At 50.8% G+C, this 19,427-nt stretch overlaps 1 protein-coding gene across 12 annotated transcripts in view, besides 9 other annotated features; it reads right to left on the bottom strand.

The window, feature by feature from the left end:
• TBC1D14 (TBC1 domain family member 14) overlaps nt 1–19,427 on the bottom strand; it is a 123,649-nt gene that overhangs the window by 84,507 nt on the left and 19,715 nt on the right. Inside the window, exons 1-2 of one of the 12 annotated variants that reach the window (XM_017008480.2) lie at nt 5,846–5,884; nt 4,317–4,414 (exon numbers count right to left, since the gene is read on the bottom strand). The exons of the other annotated variants lie outside the window; for them this stretch is intronic. The gene's annotated coding sequence lies outside the window, so the exon portion shown is untranslated. Of the gene's footprint in view, nt 1–4,316; nt 4,415–5,845; nt 5,885–19,427 lie in introns of those variants that run through there. 12 annotated transcript variants of the gene reach the window in all.
• Nucleotides 3,213–4,038: an enhancer, noted in NCBI's record as "NANOG-H3K27ac-H3K4me1 hESC enhancer chr4:6946297-6947122 (GRCh37/hg19 assembly coordinates)". NCBI's record gives its function as "activates a minimal SCP1, AML or CMV promoter by ChIP-STARR-seq in naive H9 embryonic stem cells {active_cell/tissue: H9 hESC(naive)}" and the evidence as "EXISTENCE:reporter gene assay evidence [ECO:0000049][PMID:30033119]".
• Nucleotides 4,039–4,864: an enhancer, noted in NCBI's record as "H3K27ac-H3K4me1 hESC enhancer chr4:6945471-6946296 (GRCh37/hg19 assembly coordinates)". NCBI's record gives its function as "activates a minimal SCP1, AML or CMV promoter by ChIP-STARR-seq in naive H9 embryonic stem cells {active_cell/tissue: H9 hESC(naive)}" and the evidence as "EXISTENCE:reporter gene assay evidence [ECO:0000049][PMID:30033119]".
• Nucleotides 4,865–5,690: an enhancer, noted in NCBI's record as "H3K4me1 hESC enhancer chr4:6944645-6945470 (GRCh37/hg19 assembly coordinates)". NCBI's record gives its function as "activates a minimal SCP1, AML or CMV promoter by ChIP-STARR-seq in naive H9 embryonic stem cells {active_cell/tissue: H9 hESC(naive)}" and the evidence as "EXISTENCE:reporter gene assay evidence [ECO:0000049][PMID:30033119]".
• Nucleotides 6,235–6,304: an enhancer, noted in NCBI's record as "active region_21265". NCBI's record gives its function as "activates an Ori minimal core promoter by ATAC-STARR-seq in GM12878 lymphoblastoid cells {active_cell/tissue: GM12878}" and the evidence as "EXISTENCE:reporter gene assay evidence [ECO:0000049][PMID:35858748]".
• Nucleotides 7,853–8,430: an enhancer, noted in NCBI's record as "NANOG-H3K27ac-H3K4me1 hESC enhancer chr4:6941905-6942482 (GRCh37/hg19 assembly coordinates)". NCBI's record gives its function as "activates a minimal SCP1, AML or CMV promoter by ChIP-STARR-seq in naive H9 embryonic stem cells {active_cell/tissue: H9 hESC(naive)}" and the evidence as "EXISTENCE:reporter gene assay evidence [ECO:0000049][PMID:30033119]".
• Nucleotides 8,160–8,289: an enhancer, noted in NCBI's record as "active region_21264". NCBI's record gives its function as "activates an Ori minimal core promoter by ATAC-STARR-seq in GM12878 lymphoblastoid cells {active_cell/tissue: GM12878}" and the evidence as "EXISTENCE:reporter gene assay evidence [ECO:0000049][PMID:35858748]".
• Nucleotides 8,431–9,008: an enhancer, noted in NCBI's record as "NANOG-H3K27ac-H3K4me1 hESC enhancer chr4:6941327-6941904 (GRCh37/hg19 assembly coordinates)". NCBI's record gives its function as "activates a minimal SCP1, AML or CMV promoter by ChIP-STARR-seq in naive H9 embryonic stem cells {active_cell/tissue: H9 hESC(naive)}" and the evidence as "EXISTENCE:reporter gene assay evidence [ECO:0000049][PMID:30033119]".
• Nucleotides 9,722–9,771: a silencer, noted in NCBI's record as "silent region_15241". NCBI's record gives its function as "represses an Ori minimal core promoter by ATAC-STARR-seq in GM12878 lymphoblastoid cells {active_cell/tissue: GM12878}" and the evidence as "EXISTENCE:reporter gene assay evidence [ECO:0000049][PMID:35858748]".
• Nucleotides 12,606–12,744: a silencer, noted in NCBI's record as "fragment chr4:6937591-6937729 (GRCh37/hg19 assembly coordinates)". NCBI's record gives its function as "represses an EF-1alpha promoter that drives an FKBP-Casp9 reporter gene in an ReSE screen in K562 erythroleukemia cells {active_cell/tissue: K562}" and the evidence as "EXISTENCE:reporter gene assay evidence [ECO:0000049][PMID:32094911]".

The following is a 19,427-nucleotide window of genomic DNA, read 5'->3' as shown; positions in this document are numbered from 1 at the left end:
CGAGTGGGACCCACGGGAGACCCACCTGTCCCACCCCCCAGGCACGCACACGCCAGTGACATCCGTGAGAACACCATGGTGGGCATTATTTGTAACCATTGGACCCTGAACAAATCAAACCTCCACACATGGGAGAACAAAGAGTGGGATACCCATACAGCCGAAAACTAGACAACAATAAATGGATGCTACTGCTATGCAAAACCTCCCAGGGTCAGTTTGCCAGTGTTGAGCAAAGAAAGCCAGACATGAGAGGGCATAATGGATGAGTCCATTTACCTAAAGAAGGCAGAGCTCATGTGTGGTGACAGAGTCAGAACAGTGGTTACCCATGGGGAGCGAAATGCTGACAGGGAAGGAACCCAAAGGAGACTTCTGGGGGTTCTAGTCATAGTCTCTGTACTGACTGAGGTGGCAGACACACGAGTGTGTTCACTTCATGTACTTAAGTTCTGCAGGCTTTGCTCTCCTTTACATAAAATTTCAATACATGCTAACTCAGCTCAAACCACTCTCCCGTGCAGCCTTCCTGGGCTCATGTGCCCCCTCCCCACGCAGTCCCTCCTCTGTGCTCCCAAAGCACGTCCACATTTATCTCTGACACAGAGCTGGGAGTATTGCATTTTTGTTATTTGCACCTCACCTCCCCCTGCATTTGTAGGGCAGGCGGGCTTCCTACTTGGTCTTTGTATCCCCAAGGTCTGACATAAAACCTGCCAGATAGAACTGCATTAAAAGGTATTCATTAACTAACCCTGAAATGACTCTGCCACGAACGTCTCCACTGATGAAGTCACTGAGTCCAAAGCAAGATCTAGTGTTCTCCCTGAAGTCATACTCTCCTTGAAATCTCCTTCAAACACTCTCTAATATTTAAATACAGGAGGGGAAAAGTAAACAGGGATCCACTCTCTAACATCAGCTTAGATTTTTTTTTTTTTTTTTTGAGACGGAATCTCACTCTGCTGCCCAGGCGGGAGTGCCGTGGCGCAATCTCAGCTCACTACAACCTCCGCCTCCCGGGTTCAAGGGATTCTCCTGCCTCAGCCTCCTGAGTAGGTGGGATTACAGGCACCCGCCACCAGGGGCAGCTAATTTTTTTTTTTTTTTGAGACAGGGTCTTGCTCTGTTGCCCAGGCTGGAGTGCAGTGGCACGATCTCGGCTCACTGCAAGCTCCACCTCCCGGGTTCACGCCACTCTCCTGCCTTAGCCTCCCAAGTAGCTGGGACTACAGGCACCCGCCACCACAGCCGGCTAATTTTTTTGTATTTTTAGTGGAGACGGGGTTTCACCGTGGTAGTCAGGATGGTCTCGATCTCCTGACCTCGTGATCTGCCTGCCTCGGCCTCCCAAAGTGCTGGGATTACAGGCTTGAGCCACCGCGCCTGCCCTAATTTTTTTATTTTTAGTAGCGACAGGGGTCTCACCACGTTGGCCAGGCTGGTCTTGAACTCCTGAACTCAAGTGATCCGCCCGCCTCGGCCTCCCAAAGTGCTGGGATTACAGGCGTGAGCCACTGCGCCGGCCTAACTTAGATTTTTACAAGGAGAGAGAGAGATGGCAGAGCAAAAATGCCCATGTAACTTAGTACAAAACAGTACTAAGAAAAATACTAATTTATTCTTAATCTCCACCTAATAGTAAGGAAAAGAGGAGAGGAGGACTTAACAATAAGTTTGTAAGTAGCACAAATTATGAGGGGTCTAGGGATTGCATTTCAGGGAAGGAATGACATTACTATGTTCCTTCCATATTAGAAATCTTAAGGAGTAAGATCTGACTTAAGGTGGGAGGGGATATACGTGGGATTTAGACTCAGGCAGGTCAGGAGCTCAAATCCCAGCTTCGTAACAAGCTGCCTGATGTTAGGCAAGAAATGAACCTCTCTAGCCTCAGTTTTACCATCTGTAGAATGGAGATATCATCAATCAGTTACCATCAGAGTTTGTGTCTGTTAACTCTGCTTATTAATAAATAACACTAAGGGGCCGGATGTGGTGGTTCACGCCTGTAATCCCAGCACTTTGGAAGGCCGAGGCAGGTGGATCACAAGGTTAGGAGTTCGAGACCAGCATGACCAACATGATGATACCCCGTCTCTACCAAAAATAATACAAAAATTAGCTGGGCCTGGTGGCACGCACCTGTAATCCCAGCTACTCAGGAGAATCGCTTGAACCCGGGAAGCAGAGGTTACAGTGAGCCAAGATTGCACCATTGCACTCCAGCCTGGGTGACAGAGCAAGACTCTGTCTCAAAAATAATAATAATACAAGTAAAATAAATAAATAACACTAAGAGCAGTCTGTTAATTATATAGGCCCAAGCATCTCCTCTCATTTAATCCTAACCTTATTCATCCATGTCATTTTTTTCATTCAACAAATACATATTGAGAACCAACTATGTTCTAGGTGCTATGCCATGTACTGGGAATATAGTTCCTGATGACCGGAAATGTAGGTACCCATCCTCACGGGGCTTGTCTTGAAGAAGAGAAAATTCAGAGACAGAACCTTGCCTCAGATCGTGCGATAAAGTGCCTATATTTGAGCTGAAGTCTGAATTGAAAGTCCATTCTTTCTACTGGTGGCTCTGAACCCTCTGCGTGCTAGAGTCACCCGGGGAGTTTTCAAGCATCCTGAGGCGCAGGTTTCACCCCAAACCAATGAAAATCAATCTCTGAGGGGAGAATGCATATATTAATTTTTCTTTGTTAAGTTTGCCAGGTAATCCTACTGTGCAGCTAGGACTGAGAACTTCGCTCCTTAATAAGTCTTTCCCCTCCCATGCTATCTCATTTCTTTAATGCTTTCTTTCATCTTTTTTTTTTTTTTTTTTTTTTTTTTTTTTTTTTGAGACGCAGTTTTGCTCTAGTTGCCCAGGCTGGAGCGCAATGGCGCGATCTCGGCTCACCGCAACCTCCGCCTCCCGGGTTCAAGCGATTCTCCTGCCTCAGCCTCCTGAGTAGCTGGGATTACAGGCGCGTTGCCACCACGCTCGGCTAATTTTGCATTTTTAGTAGAGACGGGGTTTCTCCATGTTGGTCAGGCTGGTCTCGAACTCCAAACCTCAGGTGATCCGCCCACCTCAGCCTCCCAAAGTGCTGGGATTACAGGCGTGAGCCACCACGACCAGCTATGCTTTCTTTAATCTATGTGAATTTAAGATAACTCCTTTCCAGCCCTTTCCGTGGACAGTGAATTATTTCAGATTTTTTTTCAAGCTACGCCAACATTTCTACTCACTCAAGAAAAATCAAACTGTAAACACCTGCCTTACAGCACAAACTCTCCTATTATCTTCTTGTTCCTGTATTTTCACTGATCCAGGCTGTGTGCTGATTCCTAACCCAGCAGGCTTCTAAAGCTCAGTGGCATGTGGCCCGCCCCTACACCCCAGCAAATACAGGCCATTTCTCCTGGAGCCCTTGTCTCCTTTCACATGGAAAATGCCAAGCTCAGAGCCTGACACAATGTAGCCCCTGCCCATGAAGATTCAAACCTCCCACTCTCACACCAGCTCCAGGAACCTGACTCTATATGGCACTAGTGAACAGAACCAAGTCACGTTCTGCTAGTGTCCCAGGGCCAATCAGGAACATGAGCTGGGGTTAGCTGGGGATTGGGGATGACTGAGATCTAGGCCCTGTCCTTAAGGAGCTCCAGTAAGAGCAAGACACCTGAAACACCACTGGACTAAAAGGAAGCTGCAGAGGAGACGGGAGAGGAGCACGCATGCCCGGAAGGCCACCTCTGCCCCGGGGATAGTGAGAAGGTTCCTGGAAGGGGTGTCAGCTGTGCTGGGAACCAGTGACGCTGTGTCCAGCCAGTCCCGTGGAACCAGTGCAGGGATGAGGAGGACAGGAGAAACCTGGACATCCCCGCATTCTGTAAACCAGAGGACCCGGGGAGGACTAATTTTCCTACGCCTCAATTTACAGGAACCAGAGGCCAGAGCCATGGTGAATTCCAACCGCCCATCAGCCACTGCTTGGAGCATGCTCGTTTGTAAAACAGAGGCTGGGCTCTCACTAACAGTGAACTCCATCTGCCAAGGACAGACGGCTCCCGGCAGGGCCATCACCCCAGGGAGGACAGGCCAGAGCTGACAGGGGCCCGAGACGCTGGTCATGAAGCAGCAAGTCCCAGGAACTCGGTCCTAAGGAAATCATCTGAAAGGCAGGCACCGCACTCTGAAGCCCATGGGGAATTCCATCATCAAAACGCAGACGCAAAAAGCCATTTCCTTATTGCTGGACAAGCAAATGATTCACAGGATGAAATCCTACAAAGACATTAATAAGCATACGAACACGTTTTAATTGTGCTGAGAAATGTTTCCTCTACGTAGAAAAGCAGGACACCAAACGATGGAAACAGCATCCATTTTTATCTGTTTAAAATTCAAAGTCTGCAAGGAAATAAAAAAAGAAGGAAAAATCAGGGGTAGGTGTTAAAAAGGACAAAAATAGAACGACGCCGAAGTTTTCCTGCGCATTTTTAAACAAAGAGAAGCTTTAAGAAACGTATCTAAGCTAAAAAGATCTATCACACACACAAAAAAACCCAAACCCCCGGCAGAACGCGCCGGCTTCACAGACACCGCAGATGGGTGCCGTGCCCGCGATCGGAAACCCAAACGGCTGTGACCCCATATGGGAGACCGAATTGTTGGGGAGGTCTGCTCTCAAGACCCAGAACAATCATAGAATTTAAAAGAAACATATTTAGATTTAAAAGTTAAGTGTGCCAGATCCCTTTATTACTTTTTTTAGATTCACATTCACTCAAGGTTATCTGCTGACCACCTGCACCGGCTCGGAAAACCACAGGAGGACGGTGTGGCCCCAGCTCTCCAGAAGCTCAAGGTTCCAGGAGGGGGCGGGGAGTGGGCTAGTGTGGTCTCAAAGAAGTCCAGGGACTGTGGGGTCCACATTAGAGGTCTGGGAGAGGTTGGGGTGATCAAAGAAGGCTTCCTAGAGGAGGTGTCACTTAAGCTGAATCCTAAGGGACAAACAAGAATTTGCCCGGGAGAGGCAGCAGAACAGGCAAGGTGCAGAGGCAGGGCGTCACTGGCTCTGAGCACTGGCACCACTGGTGGCCAGAGATGCAGGCAGCAGCCAGATCCTGCACGCCCCGTAGGCCACACCAACTGGTCTGGACTTCATCCTCCAGGTGGTGGGAACTATCACTTGGGCAAGAGAATGAGAGGGGTATTCAACTAATCGGTTTCAGGCATTTAATTCTCAAGAAGAAGGGAGAGGGGCAGAGGGAGGAAGGAAAAGACATCACAGCCGAGGCTCCCAGTTATTCACCAAACCCATTTCCTCGTTGTCCTGGGCGCAGTCCTCTTTCCTGGCTTCCCTCACAGGTAGGGGCAGCATTCCAGCCAATTAACTCTGAGTGGAGTTGTGTGTGCCGCTTCAGGCACGGCTGGCTCTCAGAACTCCCACACTGGTCCCTACACACGCTCTCCCCTGCTTTGGTGTAATACCGAACAACCCAGCAAGCTTCTGCTGAAAACGATGGGGCCACAGGACGGAAGGAACCTAGGGGAGCATGGCCTGGAAATCAACCTCCGTTGTGTTTGAAGCTTTATGTATATTTCAAGTTTGTTACAGCAGCGAACATTCATCCACCTAACTAGATATTAATGTATTTGTCCCAGGAATTTTGCCTGCCACTCAATTTCTTCTGCTTTAAAAATAACTGCTCTCAAACGAACCTCTAAAAGGGATAAAATCTATCCCAGGCAAAAAACTTACAGTGAATGAACAGCCAGGTATTAGGGTAAGGGTGACCCAGGAGATATGGTTCCTCATCCCACCCACTGGCCCCTCACCTTCCTTCTTCCTCGTGCCTGGTTCTGCAGGATGTGGGGGCGGGGAAGGCAGAGCCCACTCCTTTTGACCCGCCTTCCCCGCCTCACTCCTCCCACCACAGAAAATGTGTTTAACACCCAGATCTGAAACCTAAAAGGAGGTCAGAGCTTAAAGCTAACCTCTAACTTTCAAACGCCTATAAACATGTACCTGTAACACTTGGTACCCAGAGCCTGGGTTGTAAAAGCCTCTTGCTAGAGGCAAGGGGGAATGAACAGGAAAACTGGACTGAAACTGGACTGCTGTGGGGCCCAAAAGGGCTATTCTGCAACTCTAGATGACTCACCATTCTTCCATATACAGAATCTTACAGGATTCTTGAGATAAACCACAGCTATTCACAACAAAGAATCAGCAAAACTGGAGTTGAAACAGCTCGCAGTTACAAACCCAGCTCGCTCAACATAAACAGGAACTGATTTGATGTGGCAATCTAGTAAGATGTGTGCACATGAAAAATACAGAAGGCATGAAATAATTCAGTGTTACTTGTACTGAATATTCTAAAAATAAAAAAGATGTGTAAATATTTTAAATAATCTCCTATTTAAGATAGGAAATAGGAGGAAACCGTTTTAATTACTGCATTATTCTATGATATTTTCCACTAACATCTGAAAAGCAGAACAGATTCTATCCCTATCTGGGCAAAGGGAAGTTAATTTATGAGTAGCAAGTGGCTGATGGCTGAAGAACTGCTTTGCAGGAATGGGCTTGCCCATGGGTTTCTCAAAGCCCGTGTATTCCTGTGGTCCCACACCAGTTCTCCTGCATTTCATACTGAATCGCCACCTCCCAGGCTGAACCTAACCTCACCTAGGGCAGAAGGAAGGTGGGCTGGCAAAGGACCTAAACACACACCTGGAGCCTCCAGGAAGATGGGCGTACTGTTTCCTGAGGCTGCCTGCAAGCCTGAGGAAGTTCCATGAACACAGGAGGTCTGACGTATCTGGAGCAAATTCATTCTCCTTTTACCCCATCCCACAAAACAACCTTGCCCTCTGTGCATTTTCTAAGGACATCAACACCTTCCAGAAACCAGGGCAGAAACACTGCCTTGTCTGTGGGACAAGTCACAGGAACAGATGTGCAAGCTGAGGAAGGTCTTTTTTGGTTCAGTTCACGCCATTCCTGAATGTTACTGACACTCCACAGCTTCACAGCAAGTGTCTGCCTTCCCCACAGGAAGACGATGTCAGGAGCAACATAAAGTGGTAAGAACTTAAAGAGCTGCTTTTGGCCGGGCGCAGTGGCTCATGCCAGGAATCCCAGCACTTTGGGTGGCCAAGACGGCAAATCACCTGAGCTCCGGAGTTTGAGACCAGCCTGGCTAACATGGTGAAACCCTGTCTTTACTAAAAATACAAAAATTAGCCAGGCGTGGTGGCGGACGCCTGTAGTCCCAGCTACCCGGGAGGCTGAGGCAGGAGAATCGCGAGAACCTGGGAGGCAGAGGTTGCAGTGAGCCAAGATCATGCCATTGCACTCCAGCCTGGGCCACAGAGTGAGACCGCATCTCAAAAAAAAAAAAAAAAAAAAAAAGCTGCTTTCCTCAGATACAGGCAAGTTTCCCAGCCCACCAACAGAAGGAAATGGACCATCAAACCCAGGTGGGATTCAGAACAAACATCTCGAGCACTGGTTGATCACGGAACAGCCAACCTGCTTTCATCAAGTCATTAATAGCCAAGATAAATCGCTCGTGTTTACCCTCAAGAACTGATTCAATCCTTTTTCTCCATTTTCCCTTTCCTGCAGTGCCTCCCTTAGGCAAGTCCTCATTACCATTCATTTGTTCATTCATTCGTTCATTCATGCCATAAGCCGGGACGCGGTGATCCCTAACACCTCCTAGTAAGTGCTGCATGGACTGCTGTAACAGGCACTTCCCAAGCACAGCCTCCTGGCTGCCAGCTCGGAGACAGGTAAGACACAAGAACATAGAGCACTGTGTCCAGCCGCCCAGCCGGCCAGGCAGAGCAGACTTTCAGATCTTTGGCTCTATGACTGCACTCTCTCAATCTCCACCAGGTTCTTTGTCCCCTCACTGGAAGGCACAACAGGCACCTTCAGAATACATCTCTGAGGGGTGTAGGCTCCTCCCCCACCCCCGTCATCTCCCATATTTAAATGTGCACTAGAGGTCACAGGGAGGGTCAAACACACCCTCAGGCAAGAACCTCAACCCCAGCAAGGCTGACTCCAGGCAGGGCCCTCCCCGCTATACCTATCTGACCAGCACCCCCACCTGCCACCTGGCCTGGGTTTCCTTCCCCTTCCCCGGAGCCCTGAGGGCGGTTCTTTCTGTAGACCTCTCTGGGCTACACACATTCCATTATGGATTTGCTCGTTTCACACCCACTGTGTGCTGCTGTTACACATCAAGAACAACAAAGGTTCAAGTCACAGATTGTCCCACAGACCAGGGCTGAACAACAGAACTTCCTGCATGGTGGAAATGTACTAATCTGAGCCGCCCAACGGGGTGGCCACAAGCCACATGTGGCTACTGAGCGCCTGACTGGCCAGAGTGACTAAGAAACTGAATTTTCCATTTCGGGTAATTTTAACTCAATTTAAATAGCTACATGGGGCTAGTGGCTAACACACTGGACGGCAGTTTGATATTCTAGTAACTAAAGCACCAGCTGCGCCCCAATATACGACTCCAGGCAGCCAAAAGGGATGACTCTGCTGAGCATGCGTGAGGTGCCGCGGGAGCCAGGGGCACAGGCCGCTGGTGCCCATTTCTCAAGGAGCCTGGTGTAGGTCGTGACGCCTGAAAAGCAAGGCCAGTCCCCGCCGGCCTCAGGGCCTTCGTCTCCACTGTGTCCTTCGGAAGAACACGCTTCACCCGCACACCACTCACATCTTTGCTCAAATGCTGCTTTCCCACCAAAGCCCTCCCTGACCCCCCTGTGTAAAGTGGAGCCTCTCCCAGCTTTCCCATGCCACCTCCACACCACCACCCCACCCCCACCCCTCTCCTCAGGAACTCTGCCACAGGACTCACAGCCTGGCACTGAGCATCCCTTATCAGTCTCTGCAGTGTGGTCTCAGTCGACTATCTTGCCGTTGGGTGCTTTGATTTGGGAGAAGTGGGTGTGTTGACCGTTACATCCCCAAGACTGACGCAGGTATGCTGACCACTACATCCCCAGGACCGGGTCCTCGGGCAGATAATCTCTAAGAAAAGGGATGACGTCTGAATTCAACCATCTGGCAAGCACTTGCTGAGTTCTAATGAGCACCAGCGTACAATAAGTGAGAGGCAGTCCCTCGAGGGGTGCGCATGCTTCTGGGGGGGACCTGGTCGGGTGGCATTGCGCATGAGAGGTGCCCCAGCCACAGAGCTGGGAGTCGACACACAGCAAAGGGGGCCATTCTTCCTGGGGGGGGCTCCTGTGGATTCTTCTCATTTATGCAGCAGGAAGAGGCAGGCAGGAAAACCATTCCAGGAGGGGTCTCCAGGCCTGCAGGAGGACAGCAGGGACTACTGCTGATTCCAGAAGGTTCTTCCTGCTGGAAGATGCCGAGACCGCCTGACGCAACTCTGCATTTCACACGTGGGAAAGCTGTGTCTGCAAAGCGACTTGCCCCAGATGCAGAGGGAGTGGGTGGCAGAGCCAGGATGCCGTCCACTGCTGATGAGGAAGAGGCCACCGGCTGAGCCGGAGAGGGTTTCACTAGCATCTCTTCCCCATGGTGTCCACGGTGCTTTCCCATGCAGCACTCAGGCCAGCCCACAGAGCCTGGGGGATGGCGCCGCTGCTGCACTACTGCACAACCAGATCTCCACTCCTGCAGCCGGGACGGATACTCTTCAGAGTGCGGCTGCAGGGGAGGAACCCAATGACCTGAAACAATGGAACACTGGGCCCCTGGGAGGCCAGCCCGAGCCACAGCCCCTGCACAGCTGTGGTGACAGACATGCTCACCCCGGCATCTCTCCTGTGCCCCCTGGGTGAATGCGGGATCCACGAGGCACACAGAAGGCCCGCGAGGCAAGGCTGGTCCTCTCATGGAGGCTGGAGAGGGCTTCCTGGCAGTGGCTAAACATCTGCAGAAATGATCTAGGGATGTGGATCCTCAGAGAAGCAGTGAGAAGGCGTCCCTGAATGAGCGAGCCCCACCTCTCTGCAGACCTGGTCCTGGGGAGGGGGAGCTGCCAGGCTGGTGCCTGGTGGGAAGGCCAAGGGGACACCTGCTGTGGGCAGCCAGCTGGGAGTGAGGCTGGGATCCCCTGGAGAGGGCCAAGGACTGAAGAAGAGGAAGTGGCGCCTCACGCTCGTGTGACCACGATCCCTGTTCCTCCCAGATGTTTCCTCTTGGCATTGACTTCCCCCCTTGCTATCCTGGCCTGGCCCTCTCCAGAGGAGCATGTGAGGTTATGTCCACCCAAGGGCAGGGTGGCCGAGCATGGCACCACTGTCTCATGCAGCTCCTAGCACTGGGGCCACCAGGCAGCCCCCAGAAGAGGGATCTGCACAGCCAACAGTCAGGGCTGATCCCCACGGTCCTCCCCCAGACAAGCTCTCCCTGAGGATGGGGTGCTGTTCACAAATGGGGAGGCTCTTACACCATGGGAAGAAGCTGTGTCTCGGCAAGGCCAGCCCAGCAAAGTAGCGCCCACCACCACAACGCCCGGGACGGCACTGCTGCCTCCCTCTCCCCACCCAGCACCCGGGAGGAGTGGAATGAAGACCTCCACTTCCTTTCTCCAACACTCCTGGACCAGGCTCACCAGATGCGGCTCAATCAGCAATGCAACGGCCCCGGGGGGAGCCTACGTCAGACGTGGTGGAAACTGACCCTGCAGGTTCCACTCCCAGCCGGCTGTGTGACTGGAGCCTCCCCGCCCACACGGTGACGACCCCCCACTACCCTCCAGGCTTCAGGGTCTCCATCCTGCTTCTCTAATCCACCCTCCTTCCACCGCCCGGAGAATCCATGCCCCAATGTAATCACCCTCACACGTCCCTGAGCCCTGCCTCTCTCTCCCTTCCCTGTACACACTTAGCTCAAAGACAAGCCTGCCCTGCACGTGTACCTGTGCAAAAAACATGGCTGGAGAAAGACGCGCAGCACGCTGACTGGTCCCTGATCACCTGGCAGGGCCCTTGCTGCCCCCCAGCAACGCTTCCTTCCCTCTCTATCCATTCTCCCACACGCCTTGATGGCTTTCACACAGCTTCCAACCCAGCACACCATCCCCACTGCTACAACCCCAGGGTTTGTGCCCCCACCCAATTCACATGTTGAAATCCTAACCCTCAGGTTGACAGTATTAGGAAATGAAGCCTTTGGGAGGTGACTAGGTCATGAGGGTGGAGCCCTCCCCAGTGGGATTAGTGCCCTTATAAAAAAACATGTTCAACAGCTCACCAGACACTGAACGTGCTGGCACCTTGATCTTACGCCTCCCAACCTCCAGAACTGTGGGAAACAAATTTCTGTTGTTTACAAGCCACCTCGTCTACAATATTATGTTTAAAATTTTTAAAAAGGCCCAGCGTGGTGGCTCACGCCTGTAATCCCAACACTTTGGGAGGTTGTGGCGGGCAGATCACCTGAGGTCGGGAGTTCCAGACCAGCCTGACCAATACAGAGAAATCCCATCTCTACTAAAAATACAAAATTAGCCGGGCGCAGTGGCACATGCCTGTAATCCCAGCTACTAGGGAGGCTGAGGCAGGAGAATCGCTTGAACCCGGAAGGCGGAGGTTGCGGTGAGCCGAGATCGTGCCATTGCACTCTTGCCTGGGAAACAAGAGCAAAACTCTGTCTCAAAAAATAAATAAGTAAGTAAAAATAAAAAAAAAAAGCTCAAACGGACTAAGACACCCATCCTCGAGACCCTGCTTCCTACTTCACCAAAAACAAAACAAAACAAAAACCCAGAGCAATCGAACAAGAACTTCCACTGACAACAGCAAACGCTGGGGAGGATGTGGAACAACAGAAACTCTCATTCATTGCTAGGGGGAGTCAAATGGTATCGCCCCTTTGGAAGACAGTTTGCTGGTTTCTTACAAAACTAAACATACTTTACCATATAATCTAGCCACTGCACGCCTTGGTATTTACCCAAAGGAGCTGAAAACTTATGTCCACACAAAAATCTTCACACAGATGATTATGGCAGTTTCATTCATAATTGCCAACACTTGGAAGCAACTAAGATGTCCTTCAGCAGTGAATGGATAAACTACGGTACATACATGCAGTGAAACATCATTGAGTGCTAAAAAGAAATGAGCTATCAAGACATGAAGAGACTCGGATTTACATTACTAAGTAAAAGAAGCCAGTCTGAAAATGATTTCCACCTGTATGGCATTCTGGAAAAGGCAAAAATATGGAGACAGTAAAAAGATCAGTAGTTTCCAGGGGTAAGGAGAAAAAGAGAGACGGACAGGTGGATCACAGAGGATTTGGGGGCAGTGAAACTCCTCAGTGTGATACGGCCACGGCAGATACATGTCATTATACACCTGTCCAAACCCACAGAGTGCACAGCACCCAGGGTGGCCCCTGATGTAGACTCTGGACTCCTGGTGATAATGATGTGTCAGCCAGTGTGCACTCATCGACAGTAACAAATGGACTCCTCCAGTGTGGGCTGCTGATGAGAGGGGAGGCTGTGCACATGAGGGTAAAAAGGAGATACATGGAATTCTATCCTTTCTGCTTAATTTTGCTGTAAACCTACAACTGCTCTAAAAAATAAAGTCTATTTTTTAAAAAGTAAATATGTTGAAATTAAAAATCTATATTCAGGCCGGGCACGGTGGCTCATGCCTGTAATCCCAGCACTTTGGGAGGCCGAGGTGGGTGAATCACTTGAGGTCAGGAATTCAAGACCAGCCTGGCCAACACAGTGAAACCCCATTTCTACTAAAAATACAAAAATTAGCTGGGTGTGGTGGCACATGCCTGTAATCCCAGCTACTCAGGAGGCTGTGGCAGGAGAATCGCTCGAACCTGGGAGGCAGAGACTGCATTGAGCCGAGATCACACCACTGCACTCCAGCCTGGGCAATACAGTGAGACTCTGTCTCAAAAAAAAAAAAAGTACACTCACACACAAACAATGAAGCAACACTACAAACAATAGACTACAAGCATGGAAGGGGGAGAGAGGGAGAGGGAAAGGGAGAGGAGGAAGAGGAAAAGGGAGAGATAGAGGGAAGGAGAGGGAGAGAGCACGCACGAGAGTGCCTGCAAGAGCAAGCACCCTCCTCCCCATCTACCTGTGCCCCATCCTCTCCCAGGCGCCTGCTACGCTGGACTCTCCCCAGCTGAAGCCACTTCTCTGTTGAACTCTAGATCCCACTCCTTCAGATGCAACTCAAGGACAAAGCTCCAGTGATTCTCTCTTCTCCCGGATATGTTCACCTCTTATTCTCTTACTAGGTTGTTTTCAAATTAAAAACAAACAAACAAACAAACAAAACCCTGTATTTCTCCAATCTTAAAAAAGGAAAAAAAAAAATCACACCACTTCTGCCTCCAGCTATCACCCCATTCTCTGCTCCACTCTGTAGCAAAGCCACCAAAAGAATCATCTGCTCACTGCTTCCAACTTCTCTTCTCCCAGTCTCTTTGGGACTTACTCTGTCACCCAGGCTGGAATGCAGTGGCGCGATCACTGCAGTGGACCAGTGCAGCAGACCCCTGGTGATAACAATGTGCAGCTCACTGCAGCCTCGACCTCCTGGGTCAAGTGATCCTCCCACCTCAGCCTCCCAAGTAGCTGGGATTATAGGTGCACACCACCACACCCAGATAATTTTTTCTATTTTTTTGTAGAGATGGGGTCTCACTATTTTGCCCAGGCCAATCTCAAGCTCCCAGTTTAAAGTGATCCACCCACCCTGGCCTCCCAAAGTGCTGGGATTACAGGTGTGAGGCCACCATGCCGGCCCCATTCTCTCTTAAATATTTACTCCAGTTTCGCTTTTGCCTGCACCACTTCACGAAAACAGCTCTGCTCAAAGGTCACTGATGGCCTCCTCATTGCTAAACAGTCAATTCTTTTCATTTTTTCCTTTTTTGTTTTTTTGAGACAGAGTCTCGCTCTGTCGCCCATGCTGGAGTGTAGTGGTGCAATCTCAGCCCACTGCAAGCTCTGCCTCCCAGGTTCAAGAGATTCTCATGCCTAAGCCTCCCAAGTAGCTGGTATTACAGGCACCCGCCACCACACCAGATAATTTTTGTATTTTTAGTAGTGATGGGGTTTCACCATGTTGGCCAGGCTGGTCTCGAACTCCTGACTTGCCTCGGTCTCCCAAAGTGCTTGAACAGTCAATTCTGAGTCCTCATCTGCCCTGCCCTCTCAGCAACCTCTGCCCAGTTGCCCCTCCCCTTGTTGACACCCATGCTCACCGGGCCGGCACCCAGCTTCCAGACCCCACACTCGTGCCCTCCCAGCTCACCAGCCCTGCCTTCTCGCTTTTGCTGCTTCCTCCTCTCCTCCCAGATCTCCTGGTGCCGGCAGGCCTCAGGCTCACTCCTTGGTCCTCTTCTCTGTCCGCCTGTTTCCAAGGAGACCTCACCTGGTTTCAAACCACCTCCAATGCCAACAAGTCAATGTATACCTCCCATCCAGCCCCACTCCTGCCAGGATCCTCTCTAGTCACCTACTCCACCTCCTTCCTGCAAATGTCTAAGATGTCTCAAACTCCACCCCTCATCTTCACTCCAACTTGGCAACTCTATTTTCCACTGGCTGAGGCCGAAAGTCTCAGAGTCATCTTTGACTCCTTTCTTTTCTCCACACCCACATCCATTCTTCAAATCGCACCCTCCCTACAGCTGCCACCCAGGTGAAGCCATCATCACCTCTTGTCTGGACTCTTGCAACAGCCTCCTCAGACTCCCTGCTCTGCCCTTCCCCTGCCCGGAAGCCTCCTCTCAGTACAGCACCTCAGGGCATTCTGTTTAGGACTCAATGAAATCACTACTCCTATGGCAGGCAGACTTCTGAGATTCCCTTTCCCTGATGTTCATACCCTTCCCTTTGAACACAGGCATAAACTATGAATATGATGGGACAGTGACTTTGTGATCAGGTTACATCAAATGGCACAGATGACTTTAAGAAACAGAGGTAGGCCAGGCACAGTGGGTCATGGTGGCTCAATCCCAACACTTGGGGAAGCCAAGGCAGGAGGATCACTTGAGGCTAGGAGTTCGAGACCAGCCTGGGCAACAAAGTGAGACCATGTCTCTACAAAAAATTTTAAAAGTTAGCTGTGTGTGATGGCGCACGTCTGTGATCCTAGTTGTTCCAGAGGCTGAGGTGCAAGGATGGCTTGAGCCTGGGAGTTCAAGTCTGCAGTGAGCTATGATGGCACCAGTGAAATCCAGCCTGGGCGACAAAGCGAGACTCTGCCTCTAGAAAAGGGAAGGGGAAGGGGAAGGGGAAGGGGAAGGGGAAGGGGGAGGGGAAGGGAGGGGAGGGGAGGGGAGGGGAGGGGAGGTAATTCTCAATGAGCCTTACACAATTTCAGTGAGCCCTTAAAAGCAATCAGTGTTCTCTCTGGGAAGAGATTTGGAGTGTGAGATGGACTCCACACAAAAGAAGCCTTGTTGCTGGTTTTCAATATGGAGGGGCCACACAGCAAAGAATTTGGATGACTTCTAGGAGCTGCAAGTGACCCTCAGCTGACAGCAATCAGGGAAATGATGAGCTCAGTTTATAGCCACAACGAGCTCTGCCAACAGCCTCAGTGAGCCTGGAAGCAGACAATTCCTTAGCCAAGACTGGGACGGGGACACAGCCGCCAACATGCTGTTTCATCCTGATAAGTGCCCGAGGGGAACCCAGCCACACCATGATGGACAGCCATGTTGTTTCAAGCCACCAAATGTGTGGTTATTTGTTATGCAGCAGCAAAACACCACGGCAACTCCTCTGCTCAAAATTCTGCAGTAGAGCCAGGCACAGTGGTGTGGTAGGCCCAGCTATTCTGAGGCTGAGGCAGGATGACCTTTTGAGCCCAGGAGTTCAAGGCCACACTGCGCTATGGCTGCACCTGTGAATGGCCACTGGACTCCTGGCTGGCCAATGCAGCAAGACCCCATCTCGAAAAGACAAAAATTCTGCAGTGGCTCCCCACTGAGTCTAAGTCAAAGCCAACATCACACAGTGGCCTACATGCCCATACAGAATCTGGTCCCACTGACCCTATCCCTTCCTTCTCTCTGTCCATCCCCAGGGCATCTGTGCTCAAATGCATCAGGCCTGCCTGCATCCTTCTCCCTTGCTGGATCACTCTCCTTCCAAGTACCTGCTTGGTTAACTTTGTCACTGACATCTTCAAGTCTTTTTTTTTTTTTTTAATTTCCAGACAGAGTCTTGCTCTGTCGCCCAAGATCGTGCAGTGGCGGCGATCTTGGCTCGCTGCAACCTCTGCCAGGGTTCAAGCCCGAATGGTTCAAGCAATTCTCCTGCCTCAGCCTCTCGAGTAGCTGGGATTACAGGTGCATGCCACCACACCCAGCTAATTTTTGTATTTTTAGTAGAGACAGGGTTTCACCATCTTGGCCAGGCTGGTCTTGAACTCCCAACCTCAGGTGATCTGCCCACCTTGGTCTCCCGAAGTGCTGGGATTACAGGCGTGAGCCACCCGCCTGGCCACCTTCAAGTCTTTGCTTCAATCTCTTCTTCTCCTTCAGGCCTATCCTGACCAGTCTATTCATTGTGTAACTTGTCTTCTCCGCTCCTCCCAGGACCTCGTACCACCTCTGCTTGCTGGCTTTCTCCGTAGCTCTTAAGTCTGCCAACACATATCCTCCATCTACTCACTGTGTTTACCATCAGCACCCTCTGCTAGAACTTAAGCTCTGCGAGGACAGGGGCTCTGTTTTGTTCACAAATGAATCCCAAGCACCTAGAACAGTGCCTTGGCATATGGCAGGTGCTCAGTCAATTTTTTTTTAAAGAATGTATGATGAGAAACATATTTAAGAACCTAGCACAGTGCTTGGTACACAGCAGCCACTCAAAAAATGGATCATTATGGTTGTGATTTGCTGCCAAAAGAAAACAAAGCCCAGGAAAGCACAGGGAAGCAGCACACCCTTACAAGCACAGCTGTTCTTTCTGAACGTGGCTGGACCACTGGCAGGTCTGCAGACAGCATCTGCAGTAGTAACCAGACAACCTCCTGTGTGTGTCCAGCACATACACAGCTGGCGTCCTATGGCTCCTTTCAACCATGTGTGCAGTGACACCATCAGCTGCATGTTTCCAGACATGAACCACAACCTCAAATTGAAGCTCACCCAGATTTAAAGAAACGTCTCGGGTCAAGGTTACCAGTGACCTCCCAGGTGCTGAATCAATGCTTGGTAAGAACCCAGCTGTGTAAACCAGTGGCTGGAAAAGAAGTGCAGACATTCTGCAATCGAGAGGTAATCAATCTGCTGAAAATCCACCTGGTACAAAAACACACAACCAGGGAATTTAATCCCTCGGGATGGGGGAATCAAAACAGTGTCAGACGACCCAGAGTGAGGCCGGGCGTGGTGGCTCACGCCTGTAATCCCAGCACTTTGGGAGGCTGAGGCGGGCAGATCACGAAGTCAGAAGTTCGAGACCAGCCTGGCTAACATAGAGAAACCCTGTCTCTATTCAAAATACAAAACTTACCTGGGTGTGGTAGTGCGCACCTGTAATCCCAGCTACTCAGGAGGCTGAGGCAGGAGAAGCGTTTGAACCCGGGAGGCAGAGGTTGCAGTGAGCCGAGATGACACCACTGCACTCCAGCCTAGGCAACACAGCAAGATTTCATCTCAAAAACATTTTAAAAATAAATAAAAAAGAAGACCCAGAGTAAGTGTGTGCCTGTGCAAACACTTAAACAAAGGCCAGTTTCCGAAATCACTGAGACCCCTCACAGGTTTTTTTTTTTTTTGGAGATGGAGTCTCACTCTGTTGCCCAGCCTGGAGTGCAATGGCACTATCTCAGTTCACTGCAACCTCTACCTCTCAGATTCAAGCCATTCTCCTGCCTCAGCCTCCCAAGTAGCTAGGATTACAGGCACCCACCACCAAGCCCAGCTAATTTTTGTATTTTTAGTAAAGATGGAGTTTCGCCATGTTAGCCAGGCTGGTCTCCAACTCCCGACCTCAAGTGATCTACCCGCCTCAGCCTCCCAAAGTGCTGGGATTACAGGCGTGAGCCACTGCGCCTGGCCCCCTCATAGACTTTTAGTGAGGAATAATGGGAACCATCCTACGAGTTCCTTGCTTGCTAAAGTCCTTTCTGCTTCTCTCTGGCTCAAGGCCTCCAGGAGGCACCTGCAGTGATTCTACTGTATCTCCCTCCCCTGTCGATGGCCAGCCCACAAAGGCCACCAACCCAGCAGCAGGCCCCGTGACAAACGGCTGACTCCAGCCTCACTCCCACACTTTCAAATGCCTGGAGTAACTGGAGGAGGAAAAGGCATTCTCATCCTGCTGGCCCGCGATGGCTCAAGAAGCAATTCTCCAACCGTCTTCCCACCAAGGAGCTTCAGTGCCCGGACAGACGCCACCCAGCTAGACCCTGACCCGGCTTAGAGCTCTGCTCGCTTCCTCCCTTTTGCAGAGCATCACAGTTCCAACACCGCCCTGCAAAATCACCATTGCACCTCTGATTTCTCATTCATCTCCTTTTGCTCTCCCAGCCCCGCACTTCCCCCTTTCTGATCACGTTACACATGTTACAAGAGACAGGGTGTTGTCTTTTTTAGAAACAGCATGGACTTTGGAGTTAACAAGTGAATGTTCAAATCGCAGCTCTGCAGTCTGTGCAGTTAGCCTTTCTGAGTCTGTCTCCAGTGAGCTGTGAAATGCTTTAGAAAGCGACAGAAGTGCCTGGCCCAGAAGCTGAGCTCAGAACAGGGCAACTGCATTCTCCAAAGGGAGCTGCTCATCTCAACTCTATCCAGCTAACAGTTTAACTCATTCTCATCAAGGCAGCCCATCCGCTCCTGTGCAGACTTTCATCTTATGCAGTCTGGCTGTGACAGGCTTTGAGTCTTGAGACTAAATGTCGTCCTCAAAGTCCTGCCCCATCTGGGCGTCTACCATCTCTGTGGTCTCCCCTCCTACCCCTGCCCCTCCTGAGCGCCTCATGCTACGGCACCTTCCCAGGAAGGCTGGGCTCTCTCCTGCCCCCATGACTTTGCACAAGCTGATCCCTCACCACCTCCACCCTCAGGCGGGTGGACAGCACTTTCGAAGGCCAGCTGGCATCTCAGCCCTGTTACTTCTTTCTGAGCTGTCAACGGGCTTTGCTGCTTTGTTCACATCTCTCTCCAGATCCTCATCACACAGTAGAGGGACTGACCCAGTGGCCTCCAGCACTAGTCTGCCCACCTTCGAATCTTCTTGCTTCCTTACTCCCTGACAACTGCAGCCCAACACCTTGATTAGAATGGTCCTTTCATCGCCGCAACTCTAATGTAAAGTACGTACCCCTCAGCTCATTCTGCAAACAAGGACACTAAGCCCCAGAGAGACTGAGCACCTGCCTTACCGAGGACCAC

The sequence above is a fragment of the Homo sapiens genome, chromosome 4, assembly GCF_000001405.40.
Source record: "Homo sapiens chromosome 4, GRCh38.p14 Primary Assembly".
NCBI lineage: Eukaryota > Metazoa > Chordata > Mammalia > Primates > Hominidae > Homo > Homo sapiens.
This window is presented reverse-complemented; position numbering and strand designations above follow the sequence as displayed.